The sequence below is a fragment of the Homo sapiens genome, chromosome 2 (assembly GCF_000001405.40).
Source record: "Homo sapiens chromosome 2, GRCh38.p14 Primary Assembly".
NCBI lineage: Eukaryota > Metazoa > Chordata > Mammalia > Primates > Hominidae > Homo > Homo sapiens.
In genome coordinates this window covers 767,179-785,513 of record NC_000002.12, presented here as the reverse complement: position 1 = coordinate 785,513, position 18,335 = coordinate 767,179, and the positions used below count along the sequence as shown (strand labels likewise).

The 18,335-nt window shown below is 45.9% G+C and overlaps 2 long non-coding RNA genes across 7 annotated transcripts in view, besides 1 other annotated feature; one reads left to right on the top strand and one right to left on the bottom strand.

The window, feature by feature from the left end:
• The window catches only part of LINC01115 (long intergenic non-protein coding RNA 1115), an 88,587-nt gene extending 82,913 nt beyond the window's left edge, over positions 1–5,674 (top strand). For both annotated transcript variants that reach the window (NR_111963.1, NR_033880.3), the window contains one exon: positions 4,923–5,674. This is a non-coding gene — a long non-coding RNA (long intergenic non-protein coding RNA 1115). The remainder of the gene's footprint in view (positions 1–4,922) is intronic.
• A 791-nt stretch (positions 5,675–6,465) lies between these two features.
• The window catches only part of LOC105373480 (uncharacterized), a 39,564-nt gene continuing 27,694 nt past the window's right edge, over positions 6,466–18,335 (bottom strand). For 4 of the 5 annotated variants that reach the window (XR_007086128.1, XR_007086122.1, XR_007086095.1 and 1 more), the window contains 2 exons: positions 8,143–8,678; positions 6,466–7,327 (listed from right to left, as the gene is read on the bottom strand). This is a non-coding gene — a long non-coding RNA (uncharacterized LOC105373480). The remainder of the gene's footprint in view (positions 7,328–8,142; positions 8,679–18,335) is intronic. The other variant, XR_007086101.1, reaches the window with a different exon arrangement.
• Positions 8,651–9,311: an enhancer, noted in NCBI's record as "H3K4me1 hESC enhancer chr2:776200-776860 (GRCh37/hg19 assembly coordinates)". NCBI's record gives its function as "activates a minimal SCP1, AML or CMV promoter by ChIP-STARR-seq in primed H9 embryonic stem cells {active_cell/tissue: H9 hESC(primed)}" and the evidence as "EXISTENCE:reporter gene assay evidence [ECO:0000049][PMID:30033119]".

The window sequence follows — 18,335 nt, the reverse complement described above, 5'->3', positions numbered from 1 at the left end:
ATTCCTCAGGATTTTTTACGTGCAGACTCTGACATCTCCAAATGCAAATAGTGTATTTCTTTCTTCCAATGTGGGCGTCTTTTTGCCCTGTTCGCACAGGGTGTACCAGGTTGGAAAGGAGATGAGAGGAGATGTCCTTGCCTTTTTGCTGAACTCAGAGGGATGTGGTCCGTCCCCCTCCATTTAGCCTGGTGTCGGCTTGGGGATTGTATTTACATTTTCTTTATCGGTTTTTAGTTTATTAGATTCCTAGTTTGTGGAGTGCTTTTGTCATGAAAGTGTATTGAATTTTGTTCAGTGCTTTTTCTGCATCTATTGAAATGATTATGTGGTTTTTGTACAAATAGGATGCTTTACATTGATTTTTGAATGTTAAACCAACCTCTTTTCTCTGGGACAAATCCCTCTTGATCATAGTGTTTAGCCTTGTTGTAATGTGATGTGGCTTTAGTTTGCTAATATTTTGTCAAGAGCTTTTCCATTTATGTATGAGAGATATTGGTCTGCAGTTTTCTTTCTTGCTATGCCTTTGGCTTTTCTATCAGGGTGATAGACAGGTGTCCATCAGGGTGATAGACAGGTAAACAGCACAGTACACTTTCAGTCTCTTGCTAAAATTCTCAGTTGCAAGCAACAATGAGGATTTCCAAGCCTTTGATTTGATTTTAAAGCCCTGTATTACTTTTTACAAAATGCAATGAGTTCATTCAGCAGTTCTGTGTCCATCTATCTTTTGTGAAAGGTGGGCTCAACACACACACTCTCTTGTCTCATTGAATCATAGAATGAGTTGTTAATCATTCTTTTCTCCTCTATTTAATGGCAGAGTTTGTGAGATATTGATATTACATGTTTAAATATTTGATAAAAAATTACTATCTGGGTGAGACCATCTGGGCCTGAATTTTTCTTTGTCTGAAGATTTTTAATTCTTCATTCAACTTCTTTACTTGCTATACATTTATTCAGATTTTCTATTATATCTGGAGTCATTTTGCTAATTTGTTCCTTTCTAGAAATTTGACAACTATATCAATGTCGTAGAATTTATTCCCAAAATGTTGTTCAGAGAATTCTTTTGTAATTTTTAATTTCAGAGGAGTCACCGGTAATGTCTCCTCTTTCATTCATAAATTTCACTATCTGTGTCTTCTCTTCTCTGCCTTTTTTTTTCGTTTGTTTTGTTTTGTTTCGTTTGACAGAGTCTTGCTCTGTCGCCCAGGCTGGAGTGCGGTGGCCCAATCTCGGCTCACTGCAACCTCTGCCTCCTGAGTTCAAGCGATTCTCCTGCTTTAGCCTCCTGAGTAGCTGGGATTATAGGCACGCGCCACCATGCCCAGCTAATTTTCTTGTATTTTTAGTAGAGACAGGGTTTCACCATGTTGGTCAGGCTGCTCTCAAAATCCTGACCTCGGGATATGCCCACTTCCACCCCCCAAAGTGCTGGGATTACAGGCATGAGCCACCACGCCTGGCCTGTCTTTTTTTTTCTTCAAGCTAAAGGCTTATCAATTTTGTTGATCTTTTCAAAGCATGAACTTTTGGTTCCCTCAAATTTTCTCTATTTTTCTATTTCATTAATTCTTTAATCTTTAGTGTTTCTTTTATTGGCCTGTCTTCAGTTTAATTTGCTTTTCTTTTTCTAGGTTTTCAGTGCAGAAGCTCAGATTATTGACTTCAGATCTTTGTTATCTTTTCATGGAGGCATTTAAAGCTATAAAATTTCCTCTAAGCACTGCTTTAGCTTGTCCCATAACTTTTGATGTGTTGATTTTATTGTCATTTAGAAAAGCATACTTTCTAATTTCCCTTGTAATTTCTCTTTTGACTCATGAATTATTTAGAAATGTGTTGTTTAATTTATAAATACTTTTGGATTTCTCAAATTTCCTTCTGTTGTTAATTTCCAATTTAAATCAATTGTGGCCCAAGAGCATTGCCTGCATGATATCAGCACTTTCAAATGAGTCAATACTTGTTAAGTTGCCATATTAAGTATATATTTCATTTATTCTATTAGCCATTATTAGCCCTGAGATGTGATAGGTTCTTATTTATGGTTATTTTGTTAACTTCTCTCAAGCAAGCCCAAAATTAAATAACACATCACACTTTCAGTCTCTTGCTGAAATTCTCAGTTGCAAGCAACAGTGAGGGTTTCCAAACCTTCACTGTGATTTTAAACCCTGTATTATTTTTATAAAAATGGAATGGATTCTTCCATCATTTATGTGTCCATTTATCTTTTGTGAAAATTGGGCTCAACACACATTCTCTTCTAAAGCGTTTTTGCCCTGCACAGTGAATAAGCACAGAAAAAAAGAACTTGCGGAAGGCAATGTGTCCCCATCCCGTAGACTCATCTTCTCAGCCTCTGTAATGGTAAAAGATGGGACTTAAATTGCTTGCTTGTGACAGAATTCGTGTAAGCAACTAGAATACCAGGTAAGAAATGAGTTGTTCTGGGAGTTCAGAGAGTGGGTAGCAGCCGGGATTGCTGGATTTGCCAAATAAAAATACAGGATGCCCACCTAAATTTAAACTTCAGATAAACAGTCCCCCGTTTTAAGTAGGTCCCATCCAGTTCTCAGCAGCTATTTATACTAGAACAGAAGGTGCTGTTGATATGACATGAGAGCTTAGCAGGTGCTCTGTGTTGTATGTGTTGATCCCAAAGTGACTGCAAGGATGCGGCTCTAGGATAGGACAGCATCCACACTGTTCCACCCCGGCTCCCTTCTGCCCACCGGCCTCCCTTCCAATGGGCCTGGGGTCCAGCAGCCAACCAGCTAAGGTCATGGGCCCCAGAGACCACCTCCCTGGGCCAGAGCATGGCAGAGGTGGATCCTGTCTGAGAAGAGACAGGCACGCTCTGCAGAGAATGTGCCGGAGCTCATGCCCAGGCGTGGATTGATGGTCACTACCTGGCCCATTCCGCTCATTTCCAGGCAATTCCAAATAGCCTCCAAGGTGGCTGCATCATGTTGGCTTACCAACCTGGGCTGTCCCTCCACAAAGTCTATTCAACACTGCCTGGCATCGGCAGACCTTGCAGTGCTGCAGTATTAGATATAAAAGGCATCTCATCAAGCTTTTCATTTACATTTTCTGATTATTAATGATTCATATGAATTTTGGTCTTTGGAGTGACAGTTTGCAATTCTTGCCCACTTTGCATCAGTTTTTATTTCATCTTTTATTGATTTGTAGGTATTCTTTACATACTCTGAATTCAAATTTTTGTTAGTTTAAGAAGTTTCGGGTGTCTTCTCTTTTCCTTTTATTTTGCAACTTGATGAAGCGTATAGTTTGGAACTAAAGCAAGACTCCAAGGGCACCAGAAACAAGAGCTATCTTGGTCACCAGAACGGTGCTGTGCTAAGCATCTTGCAAACTGACCAACTGGCTTTAAAACAAAATGGAACTCTCCTAGGTTCTTTCTAAAGTTCCTCCCTAAACTCCCCTGTAAGTATTCCTGGATGAAGGTGCCCATGGCACTCAAGGGGTTCCCAGGGGTATGAATTATAAGGTGAACTACATTCAGGTGTCTAATAGGACCCCTGCTAAAAAGCAACCTGCACCCTGCTCTTGAGTTCAGCGGTTCGCTGGGGATGAAGGCAGACACTGGGGCCCTAGTGCAAGGGCGTCAGCACATGGCAGGTGTCAGGGAGGAAGCCAGGGTGGAGACGACACAGGGACGGCTTGGAGGGGGAGCACCTTCAGGTGTGGCCTGGAATTGTGCATGGGAATTTTAAAACTTGAAATGAAAGATGGGAGAGGGGGAAGACGTGAACAAATGCCAAATGCTTGAACATTCTGGTCACTGATAATGAAGGGCAAGAGTCAAAGTGTTTTCTGTGCAGAAAATTGAAAATATTCTTGGAAAATATATATTGAGAAATCTGTAAACCTTGACACTTCATCAAAATCTATTCCATCTGGGAGCATTTAGGGCTTTAACTTACTGACCTAAAAAATGAATTTCCTATCTGTCAGAGTTAATACTGTGACTTTTTTTTTTTTTTTTTTTTTTTTTTGAGACAAAGTCTCACTCTCACCCAGGCTGGAGTGCAGTGACACAATCATGGCTCACTGCAGCCTCGACCTCCTGGGCTCAAATGACCCTTCCACCTTAGCCCCCTGAATAGCTAGGACTACAAGTGTGCACCACCACACCCAGCTAATTAAAAAAAAAATTGTAAAGACAAGGTCTCACTATGTTGCCCAGGCTGGTTTTGAACTCCTGGACTTAAGAGATCCTCTTGCCTCAGCATCCCAAAGGGCTGAGCTTACAGGCATGAGCCACCAAGGCTGGCAATTGTAACTTTTTAAGTCTTGGCTTGGAATGTGGGGAATATTAACTTTCATGAAGAAATATAACATAGCTCATGTCAGCAGAGACACTGTTTTCAGGCTCTTCCATATAGAAATAAAATACAGAGATGAAATAGGATGTTTCTGTTGGGAAAAAGGTGACTAAGAAGTGAGAAGGAACACCAGTCCAGTTGCTAAGCTTGAGTTGAGTGTGCGTGTGTCTCTGTCCCTCCGTGCTGCTGTAACAAAATACCACAGACTGGGTAATTCACAAGTAATAGAAAGTAACTTAAAAGCAATGGAAATTTATTTTTCACAGTGCTGAAGGCTGGGAGTCCAAGATCAAGTTGCTGGCAGGGTCGGTGTCTGGTGAAGGCTGCTGTCTGTATCCAAGGTGGCCTTGGGGCGGGTGCCTGGTCCTCACTGGGTGGTAGGCGGAAGGCCTGTGGCAGCCTTAGCCGCCTTCCTCCAGCCCCTGCACAAGGCAATCATCCCTTCACTTCCCAAGGGCCCCGCATCCTCACGCCACCACAATGGGATTCAGTTTCAACATGAATTTGAAGGGTCACACGTTGAAACCACAGTAGACTCTCTTTTTTTAAATTTAGAGCTGTGCACTGTTGAGTTGATCACGATGAGAACAGTGAGTGTCTCTCACCTGTGGCTGCACTTGCTGGAAGCACCGCCTGCTCTGGCCTCTTTGCTCCAGAACATTCCCTGCTGAACAGTGACACCAGGGAAGGCCAAGGATGGGCACACAAGGCTCAGTCCTTCACCTGATGGCGGCTTGGCCATGTTCATCTTTCCCTTTTCTCAAAGACCTGTGTGGGGCCAGAGAAAGCTGGGGTTTCCGGTGGCCTGCAGTGTGGCAGAAAGCAGAGCCTTCCACTGGGAAAAGGGGAAAAAGGGAATTCTTCCGAAGAGAAGGATGAAGCCAGCAGCAGGGGTCCCGGCAGGCCTGACCCCCATGGAGCTGATGAGGCCGAGTGTCAGGAAGCACTCCCATTGTCCTCGAAAACAGACACAGGTCAACCTGCGTTACGGGGTCTGCGAGGTCATCAGATAACCCCACAGTGTCGAATACTGTAACTACATGCCTGCCTAAGATGACCTGGTATACTGTAGGTGCACACAAGATTCTCCATAGTGAAAGTACATATACAATTGTTGCTAATTTTTGATCCTAGAAAATCCACTGGATTGATACTTTAGAAGAGGATAATGGATAAAATCAATCGATCGGAAAATTCAAATATTTAGAAAATACTAGTTTCAATCTACTGTAAAAATATCATAAATTTGTACTGAACTATTTTTCCTTATTACAAAAATATTCGAGCAATAAAAATGTCGGATATTACTGTGGACTATGCTGTAATTGCTTATCTGAAAATCACATTTATGTTGATATGCGGGAACCCTTGACATTACCTTTTATGTTCCCTTGGACACTGAGGTGTTGTGTAGGGTGATTTTGATAAGCAAGTTTTATTCCTGGAATATCTGATACAGCATTTACTCCTTCATATAATGTGATCATAAAACAAGGAGACTGGTTTTAGCAGGGGTTTCTGAACACGATTTGTATGATATGCATTATCTATACTACAATGAACTTATGCCATCCTCTAGACAGACATAAGCACCTTTGGGCAAATTATATTAATTTAGTGTTCCCAAATTTTTGTAACATTTCCTGGAATAAGGAAAATGTACCATTTATAATTGTCATATGGGAGAGCACTAGATTCTTTAATATCTATTACCTTGTAGCTATAATCAGATCAAAACATTTTTAATGCAATAGGTATATTGTTATTTTTCTTTTTGAAATACATACCGACAAAATAGTGGCAAAAGATTTTAGTCTTTTCCTTAAGGTTTAACAAGCAGAGGAGCTATGGACTATAACCAAAGGGATAAAAGCGGAATTTCATCTTTTAAAAGAAAAAAAGATCAAATTACTGCCTGGGGCGGCGTTATAATGAGACGTCTCTCAGGAAGCTGAGCACATCTGCGCCCACCTTCTAACCTCCACGGGACGGCACAGGCCACAGCCCAGCCGTGAGCTCCAGCCCTGGAAAGAGTCGCTCGTGCGGACGAGGATAATTCAGGGAAAAGTGCCTGGATGGAAAACTCATCTTCCAAATCTAATTAACACAGACTTATTTTTTATTAACAGGAAGACCAGAGGCAGAATGATGAGGACTTCAGTTTCTGTCCTTACATTCCTGGGGGTGGGGATGGCTTGGGTTTCTCCGCAGATGAAAAATGATGCGAAAACATGGGTTGGAGGAGGAGGTTTTGCTCCCTCCCCTGTCACTCATAACAAATGCTGATGTGAAGGTTGTTCTTCCGAAGAGCTTTACACTGTGATAAGCAGATAGTGTGAGGTCGTGTCTATGATGACACCATAGGAGGGAAAACAAAAGCCCTGGAGTGCCTGGTGTCCCAGCTAAGAAGACGGCCGTCTCCAGGCTGCCTACTGTGCGAGTCGGTGAATCAAACGCTGGTTTCCAGGGGAAAACGACGTTTTCCTGAAGCAAAAAGAGGAACTGGCCATGGGCATGGGGGTGAGTGCAGGTGGGGTCCATTCCACACCCCTCGGCTCTCCCCTGCGTGGTGCCTGCTCGGGTTGTGGAAGAGAGTGAGTGTCTACTGGCAAACACGGGGCCTACTGGATCTTGTCCCATTGCTATGTTTTGTAACTGGACAGACTGACGCCACTCCTGCCCTTGCTGGGCTCCCCTCACCAGCAAATGCACTGTTGCCTGTTGCAGGACCAACTCACGTCCACAGAGCCGTGCACAGGGACCTCGGTTGTTCTGATAGCTTGAGAAATTCTTCCAAAGTTTGTAATTCTGAAGGCCTCGTGCCGACAGAGCCAGTGGGCAGCCCTGCCAAGTTCCCTAAGGCCCCAGGAGGACACACGGGGCCTTCGGAGTCCTGTGGTCCTGGACACAGGAGGGCGGCAGCCTTCTGCTGAGCCCAGCACGTCATCGTGTTTATGTCTCTGCAGAGGAAACACAGCAGCCTTAGCAGGATCCTGGACCCTGGTGTGCACACTGCACTCGGGGTCACTCCTACCCTTTATCGGGTGATTTGTGGATGCCCAGCTTCACCCAAGGCTGTCCTGTGGCTGCAGGATGCCTGCTGTCCCCCTCAGCCTGTGGGGCCCAGGAGGTCAGAAGGTGCTGGCTGATGTATCCCTGTGATCAGGGCTCTGTGGGGAATCTCTGGGGGTCTCAGTTGCCCCACATGGATTCGGCAAGCCCAGAGTCAGCGTCGCCTTTTGGGGCAGATGCTGCCTGTCCTGTGTCAGCCCCCATGGCCCCCTGGGCCCCCTAAACCTGGGTGCTGGCTGCGGGCTGTCTGGCGACCTGCAGACTGAGCTGCCTGTGATGACCAGATGTGGTCTCATTCTCCAGGCCATGACGTGGGATGGCCCAGGCAGGTGTCCTGATCCACTGTACAGGGTAGAGGGTGGAGCTGGCAGCCTCAGTTGGTTTAGGGATGGGAGCCACATCCACCTCTGCAGCCTGACACAGTCAGGGGCTCCTGGGACCACCTACCAGGGAGCACTCGGCCTCTGTGCATACCTGGATAAGCACCATATGCTGTTGCTCATGAAGAGTGGACCGTTCCCACTCCAGACGGCCCAGAGCACACAGAGAAAGGCCATGTCCCAGAGGTCAGGTTCGTGAGCCCAGCGTTGGGCCCTCCCAGGAACTGACAGACTTTTAGAGACCATGGGTCTTCCCTGCCTCCCATTCCCACCTGAGACAGCCGAGGAAGGGCCCAACTGACCGCAGGGCTGAGAACACTTACTTCAGACCTTTCACAGCCACCTCCAGGAAACAGCAAGACAGCCCTGAACTGCCTTCCAGTGCCGGGGAGCAGGGCTGCGGGCTGGGGAGATTTGGGACAGGACACGCAGGGCCGTGATGTCCGGACAGATGAGGCACCGTCGACGTCCAGACACCACTCAGAAGGAGTTTCAGGAGGACACTGGGGAGGCCAGAGCCACAGCCGTGGTGGCCCGAGGCCCAGCTGGGAAGCGTCCGGGATGGGGAAGGGTTTCCACAAAGAAACTCAGCCCGGAGGGCTCTGCTGTGACTCCTGCCAAGATAGGAATGAAATGATGCCCATGCCCCATGAATTCCTTCACAAACTCAAGGAGAAGGACCATTCCCCCACTTATGCAATCCAGCCAGCATCACCCCGATACCAAACCCAGAGGCAAGAGCGGCTGCGCAGCAGCCTTCGTGAACACAGATGCTGGGCTCATAACCACAGGTTTCGATCCAGCAGGGAACACAGCTCCTCGCTTGGTTGAACATTCAGGTGACATTGATGGATTTGTCCTGTTTACAGAAAGAGAAACCCGTGACTACCTCAGTACATGCAGAAAACACATTTCACAAAATCAAACACTGACTCAAAAAACAAACAGGTGCTAGCAAACAAGGACTAGAACGAGGGAGCTTCCTCAAGCTCCTCCAGGGCCTTGATGAAAACCCTAGAGCCAGCGTCCCACGTAGCATGGGATGGAGGGGTTCCCTGCAGTCCGTCTCCCTCCCAGGAGCCTCACGCCGGACGTCCTGCCCAGGGTAATGAGGCCGGGAGAAAAAGACCAACAGCTGCCTCCATTCAGAAGACATGCTTGTCTACGCAGAGAATCACAGGGAATTTAGGAAAAAGCTACTAAGATAAGTACATGAGTTTAGCAAGTTTTCAGGACACTCAGCCAATACCTAAAAATAAGTTGAGTTTTTACGTAATAGCAACAAGTGATTGGAAATTGTAACTTTTAAAAAAATTACCATTTATAAGAGCACCCAAAATATGAGATATTTAGGGTTATTTTTACATTTACTTCTGTCAGTACCCCCCGCAGCTGCCAATGGCCGGAGAATAACTTCGTGTTATTTTACCAGCTGGGAGACTGTTATTCTACACAAAGCAAAGTTGAACTCCAAGCCCATGTGAGGGCTGATCTCCACTTATAAATGCACGACAGCAATGTCTCATTTCCACCTCTAAGTACTGGCCAACTTCTGTGATGCCTTCCTTTCCACTAGGTTTTTTTTTTTTTTTTTTTAATTCACACTATCACTGAGACATCTCTTCATGAACCGTGGCTGTATCTGTGTTGCAACTCAAATGTGGTGGCCATTCAAATCGCCACCCTCTGCATAATTAAAAGCAACCCAGGGAGAACAACTACTGTGAGGGATTATGGAGGTTTTCAAAAAGCTATGGTGAGTTTTAAGTCACATTTGGATATCTACTTTTTGTAGATTTTATTTTTTCTCAAAAACCTTGTTATTTGTAGTTATTTATTATACACTTCTACATACTAATACATGATTGTTTAGATATATATCTGGTATGTATTTAGGAGTAAATATTTTAGTTTAGAAGTATAAAATAAAAATAATAAAACAATTGTAAACCTGGTCACAATTCTAAATTTGAGAGCGAAAGAAACATGAATGGTAAAAGATAGAATAAGATAAATTTATGCATTTCTTTACTTCATTCACGATGTTGGGCACAGTAAGTTATTTGAATGAGAATGAGAATTAATTCCTTCACATTTTGAGAACTAAAAATAAGGAACATTCTCATCCAGAATAGTGACTTAAGTGCTTTTACAACCACCCCCGCATTTAATAATTAAGCAGGTGAGGTTGGCTGAAGTTAAAATGTATTTTTGGCCTTTTTATTAAGATGATGATGCCGCTGTGTATTTCCATGAGCGATGAAGAAGACGCCCATGCCTTATTCCAGGTGCTGATTTGGAAACTGTTCATTAAAACTTTCATGCTGTTCCTATAATTGTCCCTCTCACAGTTTTTTCTTTAATCCACTCTGTCATTTCTAAATAATGAAAAGGGTTTTAAAACTAGTGAATAATCAGGCCCTGTGGAATCAGAGGTGAGCACAACATGAAAATGACTGCGTTGGATTCACACCAGATTCATTTCAGATCCGTCATGTTCCTCAATGCTGCACTTGCTGTCGTGATTTTTAGGAACAAAAAAGTGAGGGGAAGAGTCTCACAACTCCCAAACGCACTGGGTTTTTCCAAGCACGGTGACACACACAGCTAGGTGATTAGCTATTAATTATCTAACTGAGGTGAAGGGCCTTCTTTTGGGAAGAAAATGCCTTGTACTGGCTGTGGAACATTGATTCACTCCCTGGAAATTTTTGTAAATTCAGTTTCAATTTTTTTTCGGTGTAATGTAACAGTAAGGCAATTTATTTTCATATTATGGATCTATAAGGGGAATGTGGCTGCTGGAAGCTGTAATCGGTTATCAGGCTTAATTGATGTTCATGGGGGCAGAGTCTTACATATTTCCGAGGTGTGGCTACTTTTAAAAATACACCCGCCAGCGGAGCATCCCCTTCCAACAGACTCCAACAGACCAATAATAACCCCCTGGCAGTGATGGCTCCTCAAGCTCCTGATGCAGCCTGGAGGGCTTTTTGGCTGGAGCCTCAGGCAGGCCTGAAAGGAAGAATTCCGGGCCCCCCAGGGATCACTGCTTCCTGCTGAGTCACTGCCCAGCCACACACCTGCCAGCCAGAAGGGCCCTTTCAGACCGTCACAGGCAGGCCCCTGCCTCCACACCACCTCAAATACCATCACACGTGGACTGTAATCCTGAAAACAGCCTCTATGATACCCCCTCTCCTTTGTCCTTTTCCTTAAAGGCTCAGATCTCTCTTTTGTTCTCCAGGACGTTTCTCAAGGTACCCTGAAACTTTCCTGCCATCCCTCTAATTTGGCTCGAATAAACTCTTCATTGTTTAAGCTGCCTCAGTTATTTCAGGTCCACCTAAGCTTCCCATCCTCAGTGCTTTCCACAGTGCCAATGGCCAGCTTTCTAGAACACAACCTCACCTCACTTCCCCTCCTCAGACCCCGTGCAGCCCACTCCTGCCTCTCGGGTGCACCAGGCTGGGGGTCACACGGTGCCTGCTGGGTGGGTGAGCCAGGCTGGGGGACAATGTGTCTGCTGGGTGGGGCTCCATTCTAGGGGTCACAGGGTGCCTGCTGTGGGGAGGCAGGATGGGGGCCAGTGTGTCTGCTGGGTGGGGGCACCAGACTGGGGGACAGTGTGTCTGCTGGGTGGGGCTTCAAGCTGGGGGACAGTGTTCCTGCTCGGGGGGCAGCCTGGGGGACAGTGTGTCTGCTGGGTGCCAGGCTGGGGGTCACAGGGTGCCTGCTGGGTGGGGGCACCAGGCTGGGGGACAATGTGTCTGCTGGGTGGGGCACCAGGCTGGGGGACAGCGTGCCTGCTGGGTGGGGGCACCAGACTGTGGGACAGTGTGTCTGCTGGGTGGGGCTTCAAGCTGGCAGAGAGTGTTCCTGCTTGGGGGGCAGGCTGGGGGACGGCGTGTCTGCTGGGTGGGGCATCAGGCTGGGGGACAGTGCCTGCTGGGTGGGGTTCCATTCTGAGGGTCACAGGGTGCCTGCTGGGGGGAAACAGGATGGGAGCCAGTGTGTCTGCTGGGTGGGGGCACCAGACTGGGGGAGAGGATGCCTGCTAGGTGGGGGCGCCAGGCCTGGGGGACAGGGTACCTGCTGGGGGGGCACTGGCACCAGGCTGTGGGCATGGGAGCCCGTGTTCACACCAGGTACACGCCTCACGCTCCACCAGCAGTTGGCCCTCTTCACATGTGTTTCTTCCTTCAAAAGACAATTATTAACTAAAGTGCTGGAGATAAGAGGTGAGCCAGACACCCCAAGACCCATCCTTTCATGCAAGTGTGGTGTGGACAAACCCCAACGAAACTCTCAGAGTGACAATGAGCACAGGCAGCAGGAACATCCAAGGCTGCACACAGTCTCCTCGGACAGAAGCCCTTGGAAGCCACACATTTGTCTAATTAAGAGGATGACATTGTTGTCTTTAACCCAACAGTGCGGGAGCACAGAAGCTGCCTGTTTGTGCACTGACTGTGTGAGCACGTGTGTGCTGCAGCCGGGGATTTTCACTTGGATGCTCCCTCAGCAGTTTCCTCCAAGGTACTCAGATGCATTCACCATTTAAGAAAATGATTTTTTTCTACATTTTTTCATAAGTGAAGGAAATTCCACATAGGGCCTGAGCTGATGGTTAACACAGTTCTAATCACCATGCGTGGTTGACCTGGGACGGGCCACATCTTTCTCAGATGTTGACACCGTTCACTCATTTAGTGCTCTTACCACCATCTCTGAAGTAACACGGTGCCCTTTTTGGGCTGATAAAACTCAAACAGAAGATGTACTCTGCCCAGGATCACAGACGGTAATAACAGAGTCAGGAATTCAACCTCTTCTGGAATTAAAAACCTGTGGTTCTTCTGGTTATATTTTAGATCAAAGTAAGCAGCGTTGGAGGCCTGAAATGCAGCGACTGACCACGGTCTCACAGATCCCACACCATCAGCCCCTCTTCTCTTAAGGACCGTGATATACAAAGAGTGGGGTTTTAGGGAATGTCACTCCTAAAGTGTCCATTCAGCTTTTAGAGATATTTGCCCCCACACGGGTTAATGAAGTCAAATGGCATAAATTAGCTGCCCGGAGCCTTGGCCGGCCCACACTGCGGTGGGAACCTGAGGCAGCACCCGGTCCCACAGCACCAGCTGGTGTCCTGGGTGGTCACCCTCCATTGTCCAGACCCAGCTCCTGGGCCCCCGCTCTGAATTTCCTTGCTGTGTCCCGTTTACGCCTTTCTTCCCTCCTGCTTTTCTTCTTAATTCAGTGCCGGGTCCAGGGCATTGCTGTCCTTTGGGAAATGGGGTGGTTTATGCTCTAGGGTTCCATGAACTGCTTCTCACCTGTTGTTGGTGGCCGTGTCTCAGGGCCTTGGATAAAATGCAGAGTCCTCGAATTCACGTGCTATTTCTCGCCGGTTTCTCTTCAAATGATTCTTTCCCTGCCATTTTCCATATATTCTGTGTATACATCCTAACACGTGAAATTCCAGAATTTACCCTCCGTCTCAGACACTCTTTAACTTTCACACACCATCTCGTTTTCTAGTCAGACTTCCAGAAACAAATTGGTGTTGACCTACCATTAAATTAAATATCTAAATAGCAGACCCACAATTTTCATGGATAATTTCATATGAGACTATTAAATAGTTAAATTAATTCAGTTTAAAGATGAATATTGGATAACTAGGAATATGCCAGGTGTACAAGGAAGACAACGTTGTGAAGATCCTTAAATGCTGAAGGCCTGACAGTTGCTGAGCAGCAGGCACCTCTCTGAGCTGGCTCATGGTCTGGGTCTCCAGAAAAGCCACCCTGACCCTGCGGCCTCAGAGGTGATCTCCCCAGCCTACCCCGAGCGAAGCAGCTCTGGTGGGCTCACTTGCATGGCTGGCTGCACTCACCCTCACTGGTGAATCCGACACCGGGTCACCTGTCCACCCAGGAGCCCGTGTGGCTGTGGAGCCGGGCTGGGCGTTATGCTCACTTGCACGGCTGGCTGCACTCACCCTCACTGGTGACTCTGACACCAGGTCACCTGTCTACCCAGGAGCCCGTGTGGCTGTGGAGCCGGGCTGGGCGTTATGCTCAGAGCAGCCTGTGTAGGGCTGCTTTGACTTCTCAGGAGGTCATTGGTCAACTTTCCCATGCACTGTTGATGGAGGGTCTGTGTCGCGTCAGCTGCTGAGCTGGGCTCCATCCTCGGTATGTTAGAGAGCAACACGGAGAAGCTGCCCTGTGTGGATTTGAGAAGACACTACCCTGAATAGATAGGCACAGCAGGAGATGCATGAGAAATAGACTTTGGAGTCCATTCTTGGAAAGGGTATTTAATCCCCACCTCTTTTTCCCATGGATGAGAATGGGTCCCGCCCTGGAGTCCTGGGAAGGGCAGAACACAGGACCCTGGGCTCTGGGCAGATGGACAGACAGCAGGTTATTAATCACAGCCCTGGGCAGGAGCACTGCAGACCACCTGAGGGTGCCTCGGGAGCCGTGTGAAGAGACAGGGCCTCGGGAGGCAGGCTTGGTAGTAACAAGACGGGGAGGCAATGCCTGGCTCCTGAAGAATGATGGAATTGACTGACTTGAACAGTTTTGCCAGCCGGCCAGGAGCTGAATGAGGCTCTCTGCTCAGGTGGAGCTGGTGCCTGGTCCCTGGGAGGAGGGGGGCATTTGTCTATGGGGTCTCACCCAAGGGAGCAGAGTGTGGAGGGGACAGTGGCAAGGTCATTTGGGGCCTCTTGATTTCCCCTGATGCCAAAGCTCACATAATATTGAACCTTAATCTTAGATCTTAGAAAACCATGTGACTGAAGCCTTGGGGGCTAGCTGAGTTCTCCAGGGAATGAATGGAGTTGGCCTGTGCACAGCACAGATGTACACTGTGCAGGTCCCTTACATGTCTGTTTTCTACCTGCTCCACCACCTCTGAATCAGCCATACTGACCTCTCCTCTCCCACAGCACAGATGTATGCTGAGCAGGTCCCTTACACACCTGTTTCTACCTGCTCTACCACCTCTGAAACAGCCACATTGACCCCTCTTCTCCCCCCTCCTCCTCAGCCTGCTCAACAGGAAGACAAGAATGAAGACCTTTATATGGTCTACCTCCACTTAATGAATGGTGAATGTACTTTCTCTTCCTTATGGTTTCCTGAATATCATTTTCTTTTCTCCACCTTCCTTCTTTGGGAGAATACAGTAGATAATGCATAGAACATAGAAAATATGTCTTCATCAGCTTTTTATGTTGTCAGTAAGACTTTGGTCAACAGTAGGCTATTCATAGTTACATTTTGGGGAAACAAAAAGTTATATGTGGATTTTCAACTGTGTGAAGGCTCAGCACCCCTAAGCCCCAAGTTATTCAAGGGTCAACAGTATAATTATCATCCCAAGAGTTTTTGGAAGTTTCACAACTTTAGCCTATCTGATATCTGTGGAGCCCCTCTGTTCCAGACTGGAGCTCTAGATATTGTGGGGGAGAAAGTGTGCTCTTTGTTATTTTATAAAAGGTACTCAGAGAAGATCTCATGCAAAAGATGTTATTGGGGTTGAAACCTCAAAGGATGCCAGCATGGATTCAGGAAAAGATGGTGCCCAGAAGAAGAAATGACAAGTGAGAGGGCCTGAGAAGGAAATGTGCCCAAGGAACAGAAATGGGGGTGTTGCCATGGCACAGAGTGGGAAGGGAGCCTCAGAGGCCACGAAGACCACACTGGGGCCTCTGCTGTTACTCTGAGTCACACAGGAAGCCATGGGCCGGGATGTAAAGAAAAGGCATCTTTATAAACACTCACTTCCATCTCTTCACTCATCCTTAAAATATTTTATCTTTGCCTTTGAAAAACCCTTTTTTCCCTGAAATCCAAGCTAAAACCTCCCTTACAATCAAATTTTATATCTTTGTGTATTTACTTACTTACTTATTTTTCGAGACAAGGTCTCACTCTATTTTCCAGGCTGGCTGGCTAGCTTACTGCAGCCTTGAACTTCTGGGCTCGAAGAATCCTCCCCCTCAGCCTCCTGAGTAGCTGGGACCAAAGGCACATGCCACCATGCCTGGGTAATTTTATTTGTTTATATTTTTTGTAGAGATGCAGTCTCGCTTTGTTGCCCAGGCTGGTCTTAAACACCTGGGCTCAAGCGATCCTCCTACTAGGCCTCTAAAAGTGCTAGGATTATAGGTATGAGCCACCTCACCTGGCCTATAATCAAATTTTAGTATCCATATGACAAAAATAAAACTTTTCATAACATCTCTAATACTTTGTGTTCTCTACTGTTTCATAGTCAATGTAATTTATCTTGGTGTGGTCATTAAATGCATGAAATTCTTCCCTAGAAGACCAAGAAAGTCAGCCTGCCTGGTGATAATGAAACAAGGGTGATGCAAAGTTAAGGTAAATAAATGAGATCATGAAAATCATAAATTGTTACAAGGATTCAACTGTAAAGTTCTCCTATCAATCTCTAGCACATAAAAGTCCTTACTTTAAGTAATTATCACTGTATTAGTGTATTATCATGCTGCTAATAAAGACATACCCAAAATTGGGTACTTTATAAAGCAAAGAGGTTTAATCGACTCACAGTTCAGCATGGCTTAGGAGGGTCAGGAAACTTACAGTCATGGTGGAAGGGGAAGCAAACACGTCCTTCTTCACATGGTGGCAGGAGAGAGAAGTGCCAAGCAAAGGGGGAAAAGTCCCACGTAAAACTATCAGATCTCATGAGAACTCACTCATTATTACGAGAACAACATGAGGGTAACCGCCCCCCTGATTAAACTACCTCCCACTGGGTCCATCCCAAGACATATGGGGACTATAGGAACTACAATTCAAGATGGGATTTGGGTGGGGACACAGCCAAACCGTATCACTCACTAATACTAGTGATCTCACCAGGATTAACTGCCAGTCACCACGCCCATGTCTAGTGGAAGGTTCTTTCACACGATGCTTCTGGCTTCTGTACTTCCTTCTGCCCTTCCCACCCCTGAGACATGACGGGTTCTGTGGGAGTCTGAACAGGACGGCATCTGGGAGTCCTTGGGTGTGGATTCACCGTTTCACTTAAATACAAACCCCTGCCGTGTGGCAAATCATAACCAGGCTCATTATCACAGCACTGCAGTCATCAGGAAGCAATTATGAAAAGGTCGATAGAGTTTGTAGCGTTAGATGATGTCAAATATCCTGGTGGGAATGCGAATTTTTGAATTTACTAACTGTCCATGAGACCCTGAGGTACTATTTTTTAAAAATGAAAGGAAGCACAGTGTGGTCACTCAGCCCTAGTTATCTAAGGGACTTGGTCTTATAAGAGTAAATGTTAATTCATGCCCAATTTTAACTTAAATAATCACAATATCACATGAAATTTGTACCATAGATTCATAACTCAGTAATATCCATTAGAGTTGACTCTATTAAGAAGAAAAAATGTGTTTAAGCCTAAGATTTACAGAGCTAAATAATGAATTTCTCTGCTACCCCAAGTGCATCCTAAAAGACAGGTTTGCGGAAGCCAGCACAGTGTCCCAGGCGTGAATCAGCCTTGGGGGCCTCTGTGGTTTCTGGCTATCGAGCCACAAAATATGTTTTCAGTATTTGAAATCTATTTTCCAAAATCAGCAAAGGTAACCAGTGAATGAAGTTCCAGAACACGTGACTCTGAAGTAAAAAGAGGCTTTGGTTTCATTAATATAATTTATATGAGGCTGGGAAACCATTTATCAGTCTGTCACATGTCAAATTTAAGTTTAATTTATTGGGAAAAGAGTTAATGGATTGGAATACAACTCCATTTATCAAATCATCATTAAATTTAAATCCTAGATTAGCTATGGATCAAAGAATTCAGCAGAAATCAATGAAATCTTTTTGTGAGAATCAACTAGCTTTGGAATTTACAGAAATTATTTAAATGTTTACAATGTATTATTTGTGAATTGCCTGCTGTGGCTGCTTTGCGTCACCCACAGGATTTGGTTGGGAGAGTCGTTAAACCCGCAAAGGCAAACTGCGAGGGTGGGAGGTGAGGCAACCAGAAGGCCCCTGCTGTGGTGGTTCCCGGGGATGGGGCCAGCAGATGGGGATCACGTGGTGCAGGCGTGGGTACCTGCAAGCCGCAGGGGTTCAGGCTCTGAATAGACTAGAAGTTTCTTCTAGTTAAACCACAGATGTTCTTGTATTTCTCAGTAGATGCTGAGCTAATGTTGCAGGAAGAGTGCCCGAAATATTTAGGAAACTATAATAAAAAAAGCTCTGTAACCCTGGATATCTGAATAGGTTCACTGTTCGTATTTTCATTTCCTCTCCTTAAAATAAGTACATGAAATAGAAAACTTTTTGATTGTAACAATCTCCTTTACTCCCCATCCTTGCTCTTCTAACCATCATTACTAGGACCAGGGCTCATTAATTCTTATTTTAGGATCTGACTTGCCTTTTTAAACCAAAGGCAATCTTTTTCCAGGTCCAAACAAAATAAAAGCCTCTCCGACCTG